At 42.1% G+C, this 20,873-nt stretch overlaps 1 protein-coding gene across 5 annotated transcripts in view, besides 4 other annotated features; it reads left to right on the forward strand.

The window, feature by feature from the left end:
- HLF (HLF transcription factor, PAR bZIP family member) overlaps positions 1-20,873 on the forward strand; it is a 60,228-nt gene that overhangs the window by 13,415 nt on the left and 25,940 nt on the right. Inside the window, exons 3-4 of one of the 5 annotated variants that reach the window (XR_002957996.2) lie at positions 10,507-10,609; positions 14,889-16,576. The exons of the other annotated variants lie outside the window; for them this stretch is intronic. The gene's annotated coding sequence lies outside the window, so the exon portion shown is untranslated. Of the gene's footprint in view, positions 1-10,506; positions 10,610-14,888; positions 16,577-20,873 lie in introns of those variants that run through there. 5 annotated transcript variants of the gene reach the window in all.
- Positions 5,728-8,164: an enhancer, noted in NCBI's record as "VISTA enhancer hs2291". NCBI's record gives its function as "enhancer in: other[10/12]" and the evidence as "EXISTENCE:transgenic organism evidence [ECO:0001131][PMID:17130149]".
- Positions 17,594-17,888: a silencer, noted in NCBI's record as "tiled region #2486; HepG2 Repressive DNase matched - State 5:Enh". NCBI's record gives its function as "represses a minimal TATA promoter and a strong SV40 promoter by Sharpr-MPRA in HepG2 cells {active_cell/tissue: HepG2}" and the evidence as "EXISTENCE:reporter gene assay evidence [ECO:0000049][PMID:27701403]".
- Positions 17,594-17,908: a biological region, named in NCBI's record as "Sharpr-MPRA regulatory regions 2486 and 1497".
- Positions 17,614-17,908: a silencer, noted in NCBI's record as "tiled region #1497; HepG2 Repressive DNase unmatched - State 5:Enh". NCBI's record gives its function as "represses a minimal TATA promoter and a strong SV40 promoter by Sharpr-MPRA in HepG2 cells {active_cell/tissue: HepG2}" and the evidence as "EXISTENCE:reporter gene assay evidence [ECO:0000049][PMID:27701403]".

Here is a 20,873-nt window from a genome sequence, read left to right on the forward strand (position 1 = left end):
CTCTGGGTAACAGTCTGCTGTGGTGTCTTTGCTGTGGAACCCAGGCATGGACAGTAGAGCAGGAAAGTCTCATCACTGCTCTCTAAGTGCTTCTGCACTTAATGGAAAGAGTTAAGCACGCCTGTCCATTTGTACCCAATAAATGCCTCTTGAATTGATTTGAGTGGCGAAGGTTTGTTTGGGGGAAGGATGCCACCAGGCCCTGACCAATGGGAATCAATGCAGCAAACCAGATGAACAAGATCATCTAGATATGCAGTAATCAGATTACCCAGAACAGAAATCTCAATACCCCAAGATATGAGGGGTTATTTTAAGGATAGTGGCAAACAGTTAAACTCAGCCTGCCCTGAGGATTGAGCAGAAGACTGAATTCACCTTAGTCATTATGATGTGGGCTGAGTTAGTAACACTGAAGGAGACCATGCAGGCTTTTACTAGAGAACTATGAAAACAGGACAGAGATCTCAGATCCAATTAGTACTGGATCAAAATAGTATTGTTTTTAAAAGGCCAAAGGCCATTGAAAGATTTATAGAGGAAAGAGTAAGTAATATAAAATGTAAAGATGGAAATAAAGCCTTGAAAGAGTTCCTGAAGACAAGAAGAGAGAAATTTGCAGAACTGACCTTGTAAGAATTTCATAAAATTCATTTCATTATGATTGATTTCTTTGTATTAGTACACCTTCCTGGGGAAGTGAGTATCTTTTTTCCTCATAAAATCTAAAGCATGTTTATTTCAAATGGGCAGTGACAACTAAATGATTTAAAAATAATATTTATATTCATGTCAAAAAAGTTATTTTTAACATTATAAGTGAAATTTACCCAAACATAGTAGGCCAGATAATGATATTTAGTTATTGGCTTCCTGGAAGACTGATGACAGGAAGATTCAGTATTACACAAACTAGGTATAAAGAAGCAATTTAGGTCTACTTATTTTATTTCTCCTTTGAACCTCTCACTTGCCTGACAGTAGCATTGCATTGATTGAGATTTTATGATCATTTTATCTTGAATTGGTTAAACTAAAATTTATATCTTTGTCTTCTTTATAAAGAAAGATATTACTAGCTGGGCACAGTGGCTCACACCTGTAATCCCAGTGCTTTGGGTGGCCAAGGTGGGAAGATCACTTGAGGCCAAGAGTTCAAGACCAACCTGGGTAACCGAGTGAGACCCCATCTCTACATTATATATATATATTTTTAATTTAAAAAGAAAAAATATTACCAAACAGATTAATTATGCAAACATAATTTTGGGACACAGAGTTAACTTGAGGACAAAATAGTTTTTAAAGATTTTAACTGTGTATATATAAATTAATATCCTGAACCACAAGTGCGTATTAGTGAATAGCAAAAGAATTTTTTTCATTCTGACATTTCAGTAATTCAGATTAGCATTCCCACCAAATTGTTGCCAGTTATCTCCATCTGTCCCCTTCTCCATTCCCCCCCACCACTCAATTTTCATATCTTTAAAATTAAATTTTCATATAAGTATATGGAACCAAAATATTATTTTCATTCATTTACCTGCCACCAGAGAGGATGTCATCGGCCAACCCGCAAAGGTGGTGGGATCTACCAGCCATATAACTCTTCTGCATTTGTTCCCTCCATTGTAAGTGAGGGTGCTGATACCTGCTTCAGAGGATTCCTGGAGAAGTAAATGAGATGATACATGTACAGCACTTAGAACAGTGCTCAGTATATAAATGGCAGCTTTCAGCAGTTTTATTTTTATTCTACAATTACTATTCCTTCTCTTCTTCCACCTCCATGGCTATTTTATGGACACTTAAGTAGGAACACATCTTGTGTTACAGCAATGCTATAGCAGTGATGGCCTGGAAACTGCTTTTGAGTTATTGCAGGGAAGAAAGGATCAGGAAGAGATACAGCAGGTGAGCACCCTGTGTTTTTACACCTGTGAGAAGATACATCCCACCTCAAACACCATTTGTGGTCCTATCACCCTAGCATGTCACAGTGTAATTGCCTGCTTTCTTGGATAGCTCTTTGAATAGATGTATGCTCTGTGAGCCCTGGCTGTGTCTTCCATCTCCATATGCCCTGCTGTGCCTGCATATGTCTTCTGGTGCTATGCCTGGAAGATCTTGAGTGGGTAAGGGTGAAAGGGAATTTAGAATACATTTCCTTTGGTGCTCTAGAGCCTTTCCAACATACTGCCAGATTTGTGTTTTAGGTTTCTTCTTTTTACCCTTGGTGACACTTCTGGGCCATAAAGTAGTGAACTGGCTGTCCTCTAGTTGTTGTTGATGGGCTCTTGAGTGATGTGGAGGCAGGATAATGGGTTTTCAATGGTCACAAAACTCCCTGGCCTTCTGCTCTCCTTAGTGTGAGTCTCTCAAATACATAATTCTTAACTCTCCTTTCTCTGTACCAGAGGGAAACGTGGCAGAGAGGGGTCCAGATAGGAAAGAATGGACTCTTCTGCTGAAGTGAAATGGAAATACAAGGAAATTGTAAAAACAAAAATAGATTATTTGGAAGAAATGTCTAAAAACGGTTTTTACACAAAGGGGACAACTAGAAGTTGATCGATTTAAGAATTGAGATTAACCTGGTATGACTTTGGTTTCCAGCTAGATTACAGCTGTGGGGTTCTTGGCCCTTGGCATGGGTCACGCTTGATACAGTATGTTGTGCACTGTACATGTGGATGTGGCAGGGTAAGGCTTTTAAAGGTACAGCAGTCTTGAGGGATTACAAAGTACATCAGCATGAAACTAGGCAAGATTTTAGCCTCTTGTGAGGGATGTTGAATTTCAGCTAAAGCTCCCTCAGCATATTTTTGTATCCCATCAAATATCTCTGAGTCGCGGCCAGGCGCAGTGGCTCATGCCTGTAATCCCAGCATTTTGGGAGGCTGAGGAGGGTGGATCACTTGAGGTCAGGAGCTCGAGACCAGCCTGACCAACATGGTGAAACCCCGTCTCTACGAAAAATACAAAATTAGCCAGGCGTGGTAGCAGGTCCCTGTAATCCCAGATACTCAGGAGGCTGAGGCAGGAGAATCGCTTAAACCCGGGAGGCGGAGATTGCAGTGAGCCAAGATCGTGCCATTGCGCTCCAGCCTGGGCAACAAGAGCAAAACTCCATCTCAAACAAAACAAACAAAACAAAAAATATCTCTGAGTCTGTCTCCCCTTTTATAAAAGAGTGAACACAATGCTCCTAAGTTTAAATCAGATAAATTCAGTATGAAATCATAGCAATAGCCATTATGTGTTAAAACCAGCATTGTCCTAAACACTGACTGTAAGTAGTTGTAGCAAATCAACTCATATTAGAAATGATATTGGTCCCTGGAATTTAGTCTGTTCCCAAGAGGACTGAATGTTGTGAATACATTGCCAAAGTATGTTTTCTTTTTTTCTCCATCAGCCCTTCCATTCTGACTACAGGCAGCTTAAAAATAAATTTGGGCATATCTCAGTGGCCAAAAACCATGGAGATCAGGATGAAATCATTTTCAAGGCAGAAATAACAGGCGTTGATAAAGATATTCAGAGAAACACAGTCCTAATAGCATCGGCACGTGATTGTGGGGCCCTTTAGTCACCAAGCTAAATTGAATTTGGAATCAGGGGTCTACTGAAAAGCCAGGAAACTTTTGAGCAAGTCACTTGAATTCTGAGCCCCCATTTCCTCATCCAGAACATGATGGCCTATTTTGCAGGATTGTCATGCAAGTTAAATTACATTAAACAAGCTATCAGTAAAAAGGATGTGGGACTGTGCCTACTCGGATTGTCACCCAGTGAGTTTTAATTCGGAGTCCGAATCTGGTATTTAAAGGCCACGTTCTAAAATGCACTTGTAGTTAATATCTTTGGAGTCTTGCTTCCAGGTTTTTGAGTTGCTGGACTGGGTCTTTGTAAGCTCCGTGATGCTGCTTTGGGAACACAAGAGATCTAATCTGTAGTCCTGGCTATGCTATTAATTGCAAGTATAACCTTAGGTGTTCAGCTTCTCTGGCTTTTACTTCTTCATCTGTAAAATGGGAATAATCTACGTCCTTCTAACTTACAAGTATGTCATAATAGAAAACTGACCAAACAGTTTACATCAATGTCCATTATTATTTCCATTGGCTTTTAGGCGGCAAGAGATGGAAAACACGTAGCAACAATTTCAAAGGTAGGCCAGTTCCAAAGAGCACTGAACTTGGAGTCAGCCAATCTAGGTTCTAAAGCCAGTTTGTCAGCATTAGATGTCTCTGGACAGGACAGGTCACCAAATCTCTCAAAGCCTAATTTTTCTTGTCTATAAAATGTAGGTGCTGTTTCTAGCTCTACGACTCTGTGTTCAAAGACTACTATGTGCTGGAAGACGACTAACATTCACATTTTGGTGAATGTCTAAAAAAATTTAAAGCCTCTTGGGGGTAATGGAGCTGCTCCCAAGCCAAGTAGTAGATGGATTAAGAATCTGACATTCTTCCACTCATAAAGGATGACAGAGTTTAAAAACTAACGCTGAAAAGCAAAAAACATTTGACACCTTTTGGAATAAAAAAATCAACAATAATCAAGCTAGTTACTTCCTTAAAAAATGGTCTTCATGCCGAATGGAAACCACCAGATTCTCTCTGGTGTTCAGCATTCCAGAACAACCCTGAAAATAAATTATCTGGCTGGAATCATTGCTCCAACGGTTGGATTTCTTAGTGGTCGTTTACTAGCCAGACAAAATAATTTTTTTATAAAGAAAAGAAAAAAAAAAGGAAAGCCCACAGAAGGAAACACCCCAGGGCCCACTGCTGGCTCTTTTGATGGCAACTTTTCTAGGAGGACAGTGGCCAGAGGGGGCCTTTGGCTGCTCCTCTAGGTGGCTGGAGTCAGGTTTGTAGGACCTGCCTGTGATAGTAGGTTTCATCTTGCAACTGGCTCTGATGGATTAGTAGGTGCCTGAGAAGTCATTTTGAAAGGGTCTGAGGCTCGGTCTGGGCTCAGTGAAGAGTTCTGTGATTAATTAGTGATGTCTGCCCTTGGCTTGGGTGGGGCAGTACTGGTGCCTGGTGTTTGCTGTCCTGCCAGAGCAGGTTTGGAAGATCCTTTAGTAGTTGTCCTTCTACTGGGCAGCAGATCAAGGACTCAGGCCGGTGTTGCTTCCGATGTCCTGGAAAAGTGTTTTCTGAGCCTCCAGCACATAATGTTTTACTCTCTGAAGGAGGCTTATTCTGATTAGCTTAACAGAGGGTATGGAAGAAAGGAAGTCTATTGATTCAGCTCCTTGGTCACGAGACAGGAATTGCAAGGTGGAGGGAAGCTGTAATTCCAACACGTAAGTCCATGGATACTCCAGTAAAGCACAGGCATAGGTGCCACTGATCCAGCAGAGGCAGCCACAAACCACAGGCCCTGGTAAGCTGCCTGTGGCCAGAGGTCATGGCTGCAGATTCCAGGGAAACTGCGTCCTCGGTAGGCAGTCAGCCGTACACTCCATACTTGCGATTCTTGATATTTGAAATCAAAATCAAAGTGCAGCCACTTTCTTTAAGGAAGCTTTGGAGAACTTGCCAGTCTGTTTAGGATTGAAGGTGATTCTCAGTTATCCATGCTAAAGGAACAGATAATCTGAAGTTTATTTCTCCTCAGCTGTGGAACGTGCTTTGCGTTTTTGTGCTGTTGATCTGCTTTCCTGGTAAGGTTTGAACTCTTCAGATTTTTCTTTCTATAAAGAACGGTTGAGGGGGAGTGTAGTGCTTTTTGCAGCTCCCCCAGTATGTTTCTAACATAGCCAGCCAAATGTCTCTGAGCCCTTCCAGCCTCCTAACTTTAAATCCATGAACTGCACCAGGGAAATAATCAACCAGTTGCAATTTGTTGAGCACTTACTGTGTGCTCCCTGGGATCCAGGTAACTGTGTGACAAGGACTTGATCCAAGAGTGTGTTGGGCAATAGGGTGAAGTGGGCTCCAGGTTAAACATTGGCTATAGGGATTTACAAAAGAGTTCACTGAGAGTGGGCCTGACTTCCTCTGCTACTGCTGTTTCCTGTTGTTTCCAGTAACTGCACTTGAGCTCTGCATACGGTTAACTTTCAATTATCCTGAGGCTGATTAACTGGTTTGCAGATTAACCAAGGTGAAGGCTCACCTGGGCCTGGGAGTCGCTCATCAACTCAGCTGCTCCATAATTAGCTGGTGATGGCTGATTGCCTGCCCCATGGTTGGGAAGCCTGGGCACTGGGCGACTGCAGGGGAGGGGGACCAAGGGATGACTTCTTCCAGGACCTTCTACTCTCTCCAACCAGAGGTGCCCTCTAGCCCTGTAAACTTCTGCATTCTCCAGCACAGTTCCTGAGAGGTTCAGAAGTTACCTGGGTCCTGGTGCTCTGCTCCTGCTACCTTTCAGCTCCTGCCCCCAACACCCTGTTCAAATTGGGAACAAGTTGACCACAGGGCACAGTGAATTTGAAAGTCCGGAGATTAAGTCATATGTTGAAAGAGGGCCCAGTGAGCAGGGGCCACTAATCCCCTTTCTTCCTCAACCTAGGAACCTCCTCCCTTCCCAAGATATAGATATATATAGATTGAGACCCTGAGCAATGGATCTCTTTTGAGGCCAGTGGAGACCAAGACCACTGAAGCAAGGAGTCAGGGACTGCCCACAACAGCAAAGCTCCCCAGAGTCCAGGCCACCCCATGGTGATTGTTTGGGTTCCCTGTGATTGCCTCCCATGGCTGCCCTCGTTCATAGAGAGTTGACTGCATTTGCCTGGGTCCCTGTGGGGTGAGAGTATGGAAGTATGTGTATTAGTCACACCTTACACCAGACCAGAAGATATACAGTTTAACCTAGGAGTCAAGCTCCTGCTATATTTGGAATGGTCTCAGTTTTGAGACGTGGTACCTTGGATCCCAGGTATATCCAAAGTCTTGAGAGTGTCCATTGAGGACTTTGGTCTGTAGCCACCAAGAAAGAGTAAACATTTGTGCAGGATCATGTTTGATGGGATTCCATGGATTGTTTTCATTTCTTAAGCAGCATTCCCCTGAGCCTTTGACATGTCTTTCCATCTCTGGCTGTGTTCTCACTTGCATTTGCCAGGCCTGCAATGCCTCTGCCTTGATACAACACAGTGTGCCAGCAGCTGCAGTCCCTTTTCAGCCAGGGCCATGGGTTTCCTTGGGTCCTTCTCTCTGGCTCACGTTTTCCAGGGCTGTTGGTGTGTACAGTCTAGAGATCACATTTTATTAACACAAAGAAATCTGCTTGGGCTGCCTGGCTCTTGCAGTCACGTGGAGAGAAATGTGTTCCTTTGGTCCTTCAGCCTGCAGCACTCTGTGCAAAATACAGCAGAGAGCTGGGCACTGGGCCAAGCTTACATTTCACTTCGGAACACACTTTCGCATCACTCCTTGGCAGAACATCCACGGTGGTGTCTATTTGGGGAGTAAGTTAGAGAAGTGTTGTTTGCCTCTTATGAGTGTCGAGAGATAGGACCTTTAGAAAATGTTTTACTTTTGCGCCTGTCTTCATCTTCTTCGCGGTGCCCAGGTACTGAGGTGATCCAGCTAAATGTGGCAGTGATGCCTGAGAGAAGCCCCTTCCTTCCTCGGGCCACCCTTTTCTCTTGCAAAATCAGTAAACAGAGCCAGGACTGCCTGGGACAGGGAAACTTAGGCCAAGGTAATAACATCAAAACCAAAGTCCTGGAACTCTTGAGTAAGCTAGTTACCCTCCCAGATAAAACAACTTTGTTGTCCAAATCTTCTTTCCAAAGATCTAAGACCTTTCTAATGTTGGTCCAAGGCCAGCCATGGAAGGAAGGAACTTCAGCAAGCCGCCTGGAATGGCAAACACTGTTAAAATAAACAAATGGACCTTTGCCATTTGGTTTTCCCTGACTTGTCTATTTTTATTTCTTTTCTCCCCCCACCCTTGTACTTTACCTCTCGATAGTACCCCCCTTTCTCCACCCCTACTCCCATTCTCATCTCACTTTTCTCAGGGGCCAAGCTGGCTGTTTTGCCTTCAGTAAAACAAATATCTAATTTCAAAAAGAGGAATTAGGAGAAAGAGGTGGTATAATTCATTTCTTGGGGTAATCTCGCTTCCCTCAGCTCCTCTATTGTCTGTTCTTGTAGGTGGCCACCTGAAGCTTGACTTGCTTTTGAAAATAAAGTTGGTTTTGGAATTTTAAACCTTCCTTAGGAAAGACTTGAATGGTTAGAAAACAAAGATTTATTGGAATAATAATGACGTTTCTTTTCTCAATGAAATAGACCCCTCTCATAACAAACGGTTGAAAATAAACTCTTTTTCCCCATCACACCAAGCCATAAATTCCATAAGGATTTCCCAGCGCCAAGCCTTATTCAGAGTCTTATATTTACTGCTTTGGAATGTTACTTTTGCCATCAGTATCATCCAGCCAAGCAACAACCAATCAAGACTTACAGAAACTTTTCCAGCTAGATGCATGTGCCAGGCTGCTTCTTCCTTCCATGATGGAAGGCCTCCCTTGTCATAGAGGATGCCCAAAATCTCAGGGACTGGGATACAGCCTCCTGCCAGTCTGTGGGTACAGTCTTTGCTTACTCTGCAGAAGGGAGGTGACAGAAACCCATTCCACCTGTCTCAGAAACCTGCTGGTAATTAACTTTAAAAATAATGCCAAGTTCTCACGTGGCTGGTAGATGCATTAGCTCAATCAGGGGGGAGGCAGGGGAGAAGCATGCTGCTTCAAAGAGTAATACTGTTGCAATCACATTAGTCATTCCAGGGGAGGTTAGATAAGGTTATTGAAAAGGTGAAGTCACCCTGTACATTGAAAGAGGTCTTCTGAAAGTGTTGAGAAATAGTTGAAGTTCAGAAGTTTTATTTGGAGCTTTGCTCCCCCTTCCCCTTGTAAATAAGACCAGTATTTTTTAAAAGCCACATTTTCTTTGTTTGATCGATGAACACTCTCATAGTTGATGATTGAGAGTCATCTACAGCCAGTATCAAGGGTCAGTTCTGCATTACTCATGTGTAGATTATCTCTTTGGTATACTAGCCATGGTCACTGTGTAAGCCCTGGCCAGTTGCCACCCAGCATAACAACACCATAAGGCATCTACCCCCTGCCTGCACTTGGGAAGTGTTCAGGGAATGTAATTTCATTTTATAATTAAGTGAAACAATGCACAGTGCATTTCCTTGGTGGATTCTAACAGCAGGACAGTTATTATTCAGAAAGGACTGTGTCTGGACTACTTTGAGAATCAGTAGTTTAAGTTGTTGCACCTGTGTTTGGCCTATCCTCATACCAGTGTAAATACTTCAATCCTGCAAGATTTTCTCATTTTGCATAAAACAGGTGAAGGTTTGTTGAAGTCCATCTTCCAAACTCCCAAAGTACTCTGGATACCTTGGTAGGTCCTTGTGGACTCCCTGTTGTTGACTTGCAAGTTTCCCAGAGGTGGGGACTGGCTTTTATCTCCAGCACCTAGGCAGCTGCTTTGTACCAGAGTTGATATACAGGAAACATTTGTTGAGTGAATGAAGTAACAAAGATACTAATTTCATTAGAAATGGTTTGAAATGAGTGCTTGTGTTGGCAGAATTTTGTCCAACATGGTTGGTCTTTGCAAAGGGTTATGATAGTATGATGCACGCCTTTGGGCCAGATGTGAGTCAGGATGGTCTTGGAGGAGGCGAAGTGCAGATATACCCCTGCTGATAGGCTCCTCATAATACTTCAGTGAGCTGTTTTTCTCGTGACTGTTTCACTATTTTCTTTTTTTCTTTTTTCTTTTTCTTTTGAGATGGAGTCTTACTCTTTCACCCAGGCTGGAGTGCAGTGGCGCAATCTCAGCTCATGGTAACCTCTGCCTCCTGGGCCCAAGTGATTCTCCTGCCTCAGCCTCCCGAGTAGCTGGGATTACAGGCATGCACCACCATGCCCAGCTAATTTTTGTATTTTTAGTAGAGAGGGAGTTTCACCATGGTGGCCAGGGTGGTCTCTAACTCCTGACCTCAAGTGATCCGCCCTCCTTGGCTTCCCAAAGTGCTGGGATTGCAGGTGTGAGCCACCACGCCCGGCCAGTTTCACTGTTTTCTGATTGGTAAACATTCAAGGCTGGATGCCATGGCTCACGCCTATAATCCCGGCACTTTGGGAGGCCAAGGCAGGTGGATCACTTGAGCTCAGGAGTTTGAGACCAGCCTGGGCAATGTAATGAAACCCCATCTCTACCAAAAACAGAAAAAAATTAGCCAGGTGTGGTGTGGTGTCCCAACTACTAGGGAGGCTGAAGTGGGAGGATCGCTTGAGCCCAGGAGGCAGAGGTTGCAGTGAGCTGAGATTGCGCCACTGTACTCCAGCCTGGGCAACAGAACCACACCCTGTCTCAAAAAAAAAAAAAGTTAAATTAAAAAAAATATTCAAGAATGAAGAGTGTTTTCAGAGAAGAGGATTTAGATGCTTACAAATAAAAGTGGATATTGACCCCCCAATTTTCCACCCTTTAATCACAGAGACATGATTGGAAGTCAGCAGCTCCAGCCTGCATGTTCCCAGATCACCTGTAAGAGTTCTTAAAACTCATCCCACAGGTTCTTAATTGGGATTTTTAACTGGGTAAGTAGAGAAGCTCCATGTTGGGTGTGGGGAAGGGAGGATGCAGATGGATATAAATTTTTTTAAAAAAACATCAACTTATGTTTCTTTGGTTAATAGATGCAGGAGAATGCCTCTTCTCTCCATGTGGCATGTCAGGGTATAGCTTCTTTGAGCACAGGATTTGGTTTACAGAATGGCATGTCTCCCCATGCCAGCCAGTGATAAGGGGCACTAAAACAGACTTGGCCTTGCTAAAGGCTTCCAAGCACCAGGCCATGAGCAGTTGACCCCACCACAGAGGTATGTACAGCTGGCAGGAAGCTGCCCTTCTGGTTCACTGACTCAAGAGTTGGAGCAGATTGATCCCTGGATTTGCAGTGCCCTCAATATCGCTGCACAGAATTCATTCTATGTACCCCAGGCCCTATGTGCCCACAGCAGGAAATATAGTGTGAGCCTCTGGCAATATCCAGAGTTGCTTGAGCCTCCTCACATTTGCTTCTCCTATTCAGTTTAGTGTGCCTCAGTTTACTAATATGCTGGGGAAAATAACACCCCTCTTGCCAAGGTGAGATAGCAGAGTTCTCTGCATAAAATAGTGCATAAAATTATTCCTATGACAAGGCATTTGAAAAATTACTTTGAGAATGACTTAAAATACAGAACAATTTTTTTAAATGTGGCAAACATCCTTATTCTTATCACCCAGAATTAACAATTCAGTACAGTTGCCATATATTCATATATAAATTTACCTATATATTCATATGTGAATCTAGACATTGCAGATTCACTTGGGGGTCTCAGGGAACTTTTTATAAAAAGAAATGCATTTAGTTCGTAAGGCCTGATTGAGATAATTCCAAGTCTGTTTTCTCAGCTCTTAATCCTTCCTAGCACTTTGCATTCATTGTATTAATAAATAAGCCTGTTTTCAGCCTAGTTAGAAAAAAAAAGGCCAGCCTCATTCATTAGAATTCTGCGTTCCCTTTGGTTATTCTTTGTTGGAGAGAAGGGGGCTCACTGGTACAGAATTCCAAGATATTTCGCTTTGGAATGTGAAAGGAGTCTCTCTTGACAACCCAAGGAGAACCTGCCTCAGAATGATCTTTCTTCCTCAGTGCTGGAAAATGAAAACCAGACAAATAAGCACAACCAACATTAACAGAAGGCCTTGGTACAGCCTCAAGAATTAAAGTGCTGTACTCTATGGAAAACAGTGTGGAGGTTCCTCAGAAAACTAGAAATAGATCTACCATATGACCCAGCAGTGCCACTGCTGGGTGTACAGCTGTACTTCGTTTTATCGGACTTCACCATATTACACTTTGCCGATAGTGTGTTTATTAAAAATTGAAGGTTTGTGGTAACCCTGCATTGCACAAGCCTTTTGGCACTATTTTTCCAACAGTATGTGTTCACTTGGTGTCTCTGTCATATTGTGGTGGTTCTAGCAATATTTCAAGTTTTTCATTATTATTATATGTGCTATGTTGATCTATGATCAGTGATCTTTGATGTTACTATTGTTATTGTTTGGGGGCACCATGAGCCACACCCATATAAGATGGTGAACTTCATAAATGTTACGTATGTTCTTCTGACTGCTTCACCAACTGGCCGTTCTCCCATTTCTCTCCCTCTCCTTGGGATTCCTGTTCCCTGAGACACAACAATATTGAAAGTAGGCCAATTAATAACCCTATAATGGCCTCTAAGCACTCAAGTGAACAGAAGAGTCGCAGGTCTCTCACTTTAAGTCAAAAGCTAGAAATGAGTAAGCTTAATTTTGAAGGTAGGTCGAAAGCCAAGACAGGCCAAAAGCTAGGCTTCTTGAGCCAAACAGTTAGCTGCATTGTGAATGCAAAGGAAAAGTTCTTGAAGGAAATTCAAAGCACTACTCCAGTGAACACACAAATGATTAGAAAGTGAAACAGCCGTATTGCTGATATGAAGAAAGTTTGAGTGTCCTGGATAGAAGATTAAACCATCCACAACATTCCCTTAAGCCAAAGCCTAATCCAGAGCCAGGGCCTAACTCTCTTCAATTCTGTGAAGGCTGAGAGAGGTAAGGAAGCTACAGAAGAAAGGTTTGAGCTAGCAGAGGTTGGTTCATGAGGTTTAAGGAAAGAAGCCATCTCTATAACAAAAAGGTGCAAGGTGAAGCACCAAGAAATGATGTAGACACTGCAGCAAATTTTCCAAAAGATCTAGCTAAGATCATTGATGAAGGTGGCTATACTAAACAACAGAGTTTCAATATAGACTACACAGCCTTATATTGGAAGAAGACACCATGTAAAAGTTATAGCTGGAGATAAATCCATGCCTGGCATCGAAGGACAGGCTGACTTTTGTTAGTGGGCAATGTAGTGGGTGACTTTAAGTTGAAGCCAGTGCTCATTCACTGTTCCAAAAATCCTAGGGTCTTTGAGAATTATACTAAATCTACTCTTCCTGTGCTCTGTAAATGGAACAGCAAAGCCTGGATAACAGCACATCTGTTTACAGCATGGTTTGCTGAATATTTTGAGCCCACTGTTAAGACCTACTGCTCAGGAAAAAAAATCCTTTCAAAATATTACTGCTTATTGGCAGTGTACCTGTTATCCAAAAACTCTGATGGAGATGTACAAGAAGATTAATGTTATTTTCATGCCTGCTAACACATTTATTCTTCAGCCTATGGATCAAGGAATAATTTTGACTGTCAAATCTCATTACTTAAGAAATTTACTTTTTAAGACAATAGCTGCCATTGATAGTGATTCCTTTGATAGATCTAGGCAAAGTAAATCAAAAGCCTTCTGAAAGGATTCACCACTCTAGAAGCCGTTAAAAACATTCATGATTCATGGGAAGGGACATTAATTAACTCCAACATAAACTGAAGTTAGTAGGAGTTGATTGCAACCCTTATAGTGGATGACTTTGAGGACTTCAAGGTTTCAGTGGAGGAAATAACTTTAGATGTGGCGGAAATAGCAAGAGATCTAGAATTAGAAGTAGAACTTGAAGATGTGACTGAATTGCTGCAATCTCATGATAAAACTTGAATGGATGAGGAATTGTTTCTTGCAGATGAACAAAGGAAGTGCTTTCCTGAGATGGAATCTACTCCTAGTGATGATGCTGTGAACATTGTTGAAATGCCAGCAAAGGATTTAGAATATTACATAAACTTAGTTGGTATAGCAGTGGCAGGGTTTGAGAGGATCGACTCCAATTTTGAAAGAGGTTCTACTGTGAGTAAAATGCTATCAAATAACACCGCGTGCTACAGAAAAATGTTTCCTGAAAGGAAGAGTCAATTGATGCAGCAAACTTCATTGTCGTGTTATTTTAAGAAACTGCCACAACCACCCCAACCTTCAGCAAACACCACCCTGATCGATTAGTAGCCACCAACATTAAGGCAAGACCCATCATAAGTAAAAATGGCCCACTAAAGGCTCAGGTGATCTTTACCATTGTTTAGCAATATAGTATTCTTAAGGCATGTACATTGTTTTTAGTCATAATGGTATTACACACTTAATAGATTACAGTATAGCATAAACATAAATTTTATATGCACTGGGAAACCAAAAAAAAAATGATGTGACTTGCTTTATTGGATTCTTAGCTTTATTGCAGTGGTCTAGAACCGGTCCTGCAATATCTGTGAGGTATGCCTTTATATCCAAAGGAATAGAAATCAGTCTTTCAAAGAGATACCGGCATTCCATGTTTATTGCAGCACTATTCACAGTAGCCAAGGAATGGAATCAACCTAAGTGTCCATCAGTGGGTGAATGGACAAAGAAAATATGGCATACATACACAATGGAATACTATTCCACCATAAAAAAGAATGAAATTCTATCACTTGCAGCAACATAGATGGAATTGGAGGTCATTTATGTTAAGTGAAATAAGCCATTCACAGGAAGACAAATATTGTATGTTCTTATTCAAATTGGGAGCTAAAAAGGTTGATCTCATGGAGGTAGACAGTAGAATGATGGTTACCAGAGGCTGGGAAGGTTAGCGGGGGCTGGGATGTGGGATTTAGAGAGGTTAGTTAAGAGGTACAAAAACACAGACGAAATAAGTTCAAGTGTTCAATAGCTACAGTAGGGTGACTATAGTTAACAAGGATTTATTGTATATTTCAGAATACATAGAAGATTTGAAATGGTCCCTTCACAAAGAAATGATCAATGATCCCAGTTACTCTGATTTGATCATTACACATTATATGCATGTATCAAAATATCCCATGTACTATATTAATATATACATTTTTTTAATTAAGATTTGAGGTGCTATATGTGCCTGAGGAGTTATAGGGGATGCCGGTGGAACGACCATTACATGTGGCAGCTGGACTGGGCAACGGCCGATCGCCACTGTGCTCTGAGGAGAGAAGGCAGAGCTTCCCCCTTTATCTGCTGGCTGGTGAAGTCCTGAGAACCGGGCAGTCAGCTAAGCACCAAGTTTTCTCTGACTACAGAGCTCCTATCAAACGGATGGGTAGAAAAGGAATGTTGTCATAATAGCTAACCCTTCTTTAGTGCTTCTTATAGTCTGGGCACTGGACTGAGGTTTATATGTGTTATATCATTAAAACTCAATCTCTGGGAACGACTGTTAGTACTTGGTAGGTATACTATTATTATTGTCGTTTTACAGATGAGAAAACTGAGGCCCAGAGAAAGTGAGCAAAATGGTGCTGGGGGCGATTAATAGGTGGCAGGGCTGGAACATGAAGCCACAGTCTGGCACCAAAGCCCATTCATGGAGCCCCAACTCAATGGGCTGCTTCTCAGTAGAAGGCTTTGCCTTGTGGAAGGTAGTAGAATGTCTAAAATCATCAGAACACCTGTGTGGATGGTACAACACGGTGACAGATATGTACCAGGGACCTAGATGTGGAGGGAGTGAGGAGGAAAGGAGCAACATATGCACCTCTGGGGAGGCCCTAAGGTCTCCTCAGCCAATTCCTAGGGAATTTAATTTTAAAGGACACAGAGAGGGTAGTTTTTAACACAGGTTTTACTTTTAAGTCATGAGGGATGACTTTCTAAGCCACAGTTCCTTCTGATAACGGTCTTAAAAGAGAAGCACCATGAAGTGATAAACACATCAGTCCAGGAAGATTTAGAGACAGCCTAGTAGAGGAGGATTGGAAACAGTGTGGCTGTGTCCCTGAGGGTGCTGGTGCTAAACCCACGGCACAGTCCATATCAGTCAAAGCTTCATTCTCCTTGTGCCCACACTATGCTGATCTGCCCCAGTGCAACAGGGAGACGCATATGGTCAAGAGAATGTGTCTTTCACGAATAGATTTTCTCCTTCGACCATGGTGAGAAGTCCTTGTAAAGAAGCATACATGAATATATGGATGTGTTGGGCATCAGCTGTGCGTGTGGCCCTCAGCCAGGTGAGTGGAGGAAGTTGGAGGCATTCAGTGTTCACCTCCATGTGCTTTTCAGAGACATACCTGGTGAGCTGTCTGCAGATACACAGCGTAGTGGGAGAGATACGCACGTGAAAGCAGCACAGGGCATGTAGCTAGCACTTGGTAAATATTAGTTTCCTTCCCCTTTCTGTGTGTAAGGCAAGTTGTACGAGCAAAGCATCCGCAGCTCAGAATGCAAAAATAGATCTCCATGTGGGGATGTGGCCTCTTTTCCCCAAGTGTGGACCAGATGTCAGGCCGCCTTGTGAGTACTCAAGGAATGTTACGGCTTCCTTCTTCAGGACTTCACTGCTTCTCTCCATATGGAGAAGGCTCCCTTTCCATGCACTTCCTGGATCTGAAAAACAAGAACAAGAAAGAGGATGGCTCTAAAGTCTCAGGAAATGGACCTTTCTATATCCTCCCTTTTAAAAAGCATTTGTATGTAGGTTTTTTAGGTCTTGCTGTCAAGTCGGATACACAGCTGTCATCTGTTATATCGGTGATTTAATAACATAATAAAAATTTATAGAGAACCACAAGCTCATGGATGTTTGTTTTGGAGTGCATTTATTCATCATTAGTATGGGTATTTTTAATCATTTACTGAGGGCCTAGCAAGGTGCTGGTAATTCAGAGATAAGGAAGATGTCATCCTTTAAACTTGAGAAGCTTATGAATGGCGAAGAGATATAATTAATTGTGAATGGAGTGTGGTAGATAGCATCAGGTTGTATATGAGGTAGAATCAGGAAAGCAAGAATGGCCAGCTCTGAATAGAGTGAGGAGGGAAGATGGGAGATGATCCTTGAGTTGTGTCTTGAAGAATGAGCAAAAATTATATTCATGGAAAGAAAGGATACAATATAAGTGACTTGTTGAGTTTTTCTTGGCTGATACTAAGAATGAATTTTCATTAAATATGCACCAGTAATTCACAGGAAATGATCAGGTCAGAATGTTATGGGACATTGGTCTGAAATATAATGAGAGGGGAAAAAAACAGAAAATTTAAAACGTTTATTTATGATGGCTAATATTCAGAGGGGCTAACTCCCTCCTGCCCAGATAAGGAGAACTTTGCCGCCTGGCAAGGGACCTGCGGCTCTGCACTGCCAGGGCAACAGAACCACACGTCTCAAACGTGGTGTTTAAAGAAGATGTTGGAAGGTTAGAGGCGGTGTAATGGATGGGATTTGACAGTTGCTGTGGCAACACACCCACTTCCAGAACATTAGTGTTAGTGGGAGGGCAGGCAAACTCGTGGTACTTGCCCTGGGCTGCCCTATGTCCCGTACCACCTGTTCTATGCCAAAGGTATGAACAAATTCAAAAGGACAAATGCCTCACATGGCTGATGGCTGCCTGCCTTTGTAGAACTGACCCTGGAATAAGATAAGAAGATGAGTAAATCAGAGAAAAGACAACAGGGAAATAGCGTGGAGGAGGAGGGGGAGGCCAGAGCAAGCAGTGTTAACTCCTTTCAGGTCAACATTTCCCAGGGTTATATTAGAATGTATTGACTAACTGGTAGATTTTTATGGGGAAAAAATGCATATGGCATCTGTGTGTCTAAAATGCCCTTGATAGAAGCAGTAGTGTAGAATGCTTTGGGGCATAAATAGTCCTTAGAGTAGCAAAAAGACAGGTTAATGCAAAATTGGTTGGACAGGTTTTGGTTGGAGGCCTGAGTGATTGCCTCCGGAGCACCACCTTCTGGGGAGTCATGGGTATGACATGGTGTGAATATTCCTGAGGTGTGGGTGGTTGGTTTCCTTACAAGGTAGGGTTTGCAAGCTCCTTACATCCACAGGGGCTGTTTCCTCTGGACCAGTCGTTCTCAATCTTGGCCTCACATGAGAATTACCAGTGATTTTTTTAAAAGAAATTTAAACATTTTATTACAAAATTAATATACGATTGTTGTAAAATAGGACTGTATAAAGAGTAACTTGAGTTCCCATATTCCATTTCCAGATTTAACTGTCCACAGTTTCTGCGTACTCTTCCAGACGTTCCCTTTGTGTTTATAAGCATTTATATACATATATATGGGGGTGGGTGTGTATATATTGTGTGTATGGAAATATGGAAATATATGTATATGCATACAATACATAGTGTTATGCATCTTGCCTTTTTCATTCAATATTTTTTGGAGATTTTTCCATATTAATACATATAGATCTGCCGGCTGCATAGAACCTATGATCTGGATATGCTATAATTTACTTAACAATGCCTCTAGGGATTTAGATTGTTTTCATCGTTGGATTCCATTCTTTGTACACTTGTGTGGTATATCTAAAGTTTTCATTCCTAGATGTGGAATTGCTGGATCAAAGTGTGTAGGCTCCAAAAGAATTGAACTAGTTCACACTCCCACTAAAAGTGTGTGAGAAAGCTGTTTCCTCTTCCATTCAAAAAAATTTTTTTTTTTTTTTACAGAGCCCAGGCCCCATTTTCAGATCTTCTGGGTGAGGTTGGAGGGGAGCTAAGTATCTGTACTTTTACAGAGCTCCACAGGTGAGGCTGATCTGTAACCAGGGTTGAGAACTTACATATGTTCTTATCTATGGCCTTAGATAGAGGGTGTAAAATTAGGAGACGCAGCTCCCACTGATGATGCCTGGGTCATGTCCTTTCAGATCCAAATTGCAAGATCTCCTTTAATGTGGTTAATTGGGAGAAATTGAATGACCCATTTCTTCTGAAATTTCTGTTAAACTGGAGGTCTTTATTTAGACAAATGTAAACATTAATCCATCTTTATTAAGATAATGTATGATTAAAGCAACAAGGTACCATCTAGGTTCTGTTTGATACTTTTCTTGTTATTCTGTAGTTATTTGTTCATAAACCATTTTTTCTTCTTATAGGCTTTCAAGGAAGAATTATCTAATTCCTTTTGGTGTGGCCTCAGATTTCATTAGCAGTAGGTAGAGTTTGTAGTTATTGAAAGTCTTTCTCTTATTTCAGTTTGAAATGTTCCCAGGTTGGCACATAGCTTTGGGAACTGGAAGTGTCTCTTTTCCCTTGCTTAGGTAGCCTCAATAGATTGAAAGAAAATGGACATCTCTTCTTCAGAAAACCTGTTCTAAGAATTATCCATCTTAGGAAATTAGGGTGGTTATTGCTCTTCTTTACTGCCTGCCTGAAAAAAATTTCCCAGCCCTCATTTCTTTCATCCTTTCCTTTGAGGCCATGACTTGTCACCCTCTGCTGTGTTCCTCTGTCCCCTGAGCAGCTGTAAGGGGTGAGAGTCACCTACCCTCACCCCTTACACTCCCACCAACCTGAGGACCACGTGTCTTCATCTAACAGCATTTCTTTTTTTTTTTTTTTTTTTTTTTTTGAGATGGAGTCTCGCTCTGTCACCCAACCAAGCTGGAGTGCAATGGCGCGACCTCAGCTCACTGCAACCTCTGCCTCCCGGGTTCAAGCAGTTCTCCTGTCTCAACCTCCCAAGTAGTTAAGATTACAGGTGCCCACCACCATGCCCAGCTAATCTTTGTATTTTTAGTAGAGACGGAGTTTCGCCATGTTGGTTGGGCTGGTCTCGAACTCCTGACCTCAGGTTATGTGCCTGCCTCGGCCTCCCAGAGTGCTGGGATTACAGGTATGAGCCACCGCGCCCAGCCAGCATTTCTTTCTTTTCCTGTTTGAAGAAACTGAGTCCTGTCTACTCCCACCCAGCATTTGCCTGGCATATCTTCACAGTTGGTCTCCTTATCAACCAACTGACTCCCATGATTAGGTCAGATTAGATCCCCTGTTCAGGGGATTTATGTGGGGAACTACACACTGATTGGGACAGGATTTTGTCAATGTACTCAAATGACAAAGGACTTCAGAGATGTTGGAATATTCTTGGTCTACCCAAAGGTTGCAGACCACGGTGGCATTTCCTTCTTATATAGGTCCTGGTGGGCATGGGCTTGAGAAGCTGAAAGAAGACGCATGGAACTCAGAATCTGATCTTTTGATGATGACTTCATATATATGGTCTGTTTACCCACGAGGCACACAAACCTTACCTTATGCCTGTGAAATATAAAGGCAGATTTTTGTCCCATGAAGGTTTCTCCATAGACTACATTAAGCAGGAGACAGATGGGTTTAGCTTGGCTAATCTTAGTGCAAGCTGGAAAATTTCAGTTTTTCTGAAACAACATATTTCTAAGAAATTGTCTGGTCTAGAATGTTATTCTAGTGTATGTTAGGGATCTGTATGACTGTAAAGCAAGGCTGAATTACTGCAGGCCTATAAATATGTGTGAAAATTTACCTACTTCTCCCTACCAACATGGAGGTGGAAAGAAGTAGGTTTAATAAACCCCATTTTTATTACGTGTGTAAATCAGTGGCTGTTTGGCCATTTTTCTCCTATGTAGGACTTGAATTTATATGAGAAAACTTGAGTGTATGCCTTTTCCCAAGTCTTGGCTTGCATCTGAATGTAAAAATCAGATGCATGCTCAATGAATGTTAATTCAGATTATAGATAGCTATAAACTATATAGGCTGCTCTGTGGTCTTTCCTTTCCCTCTGCCTGCATGACTGAAGACCAAACTGTCACTTCCTTATAATCTAGTTCTTCCCATGATACCTCATCACAAAGGTATATATCAGTTGGTCAATAACAGGACTTGTGCAGTGAATACTTACATGAAGCAGACACTGAAGTGCCCAGCAAGAACTGCAAAGGCTGGCAGTATTAGGAGATTGCTCACCGTACCCCAAATGAGATGCCAGAGGCATAAAGTCCATTTTGTTTAGGTACCAGATGACTCTGTGGAATTAACTTGATTTGTCCCCAGTAATCCATATTCTTTAGC

Source organism: Homo sapiens, chromosome 17 (assembly GCF_000001405.40).
Source record: "Homo sapiens chromosome 17, GRCh38.p14 Primary Assembly".
Taxonomy (NCBI): Eukaryota; Metazoa; Chordata; class Mammalia; order Primates; family Hominidae; genus Homo; species Homo sapiens.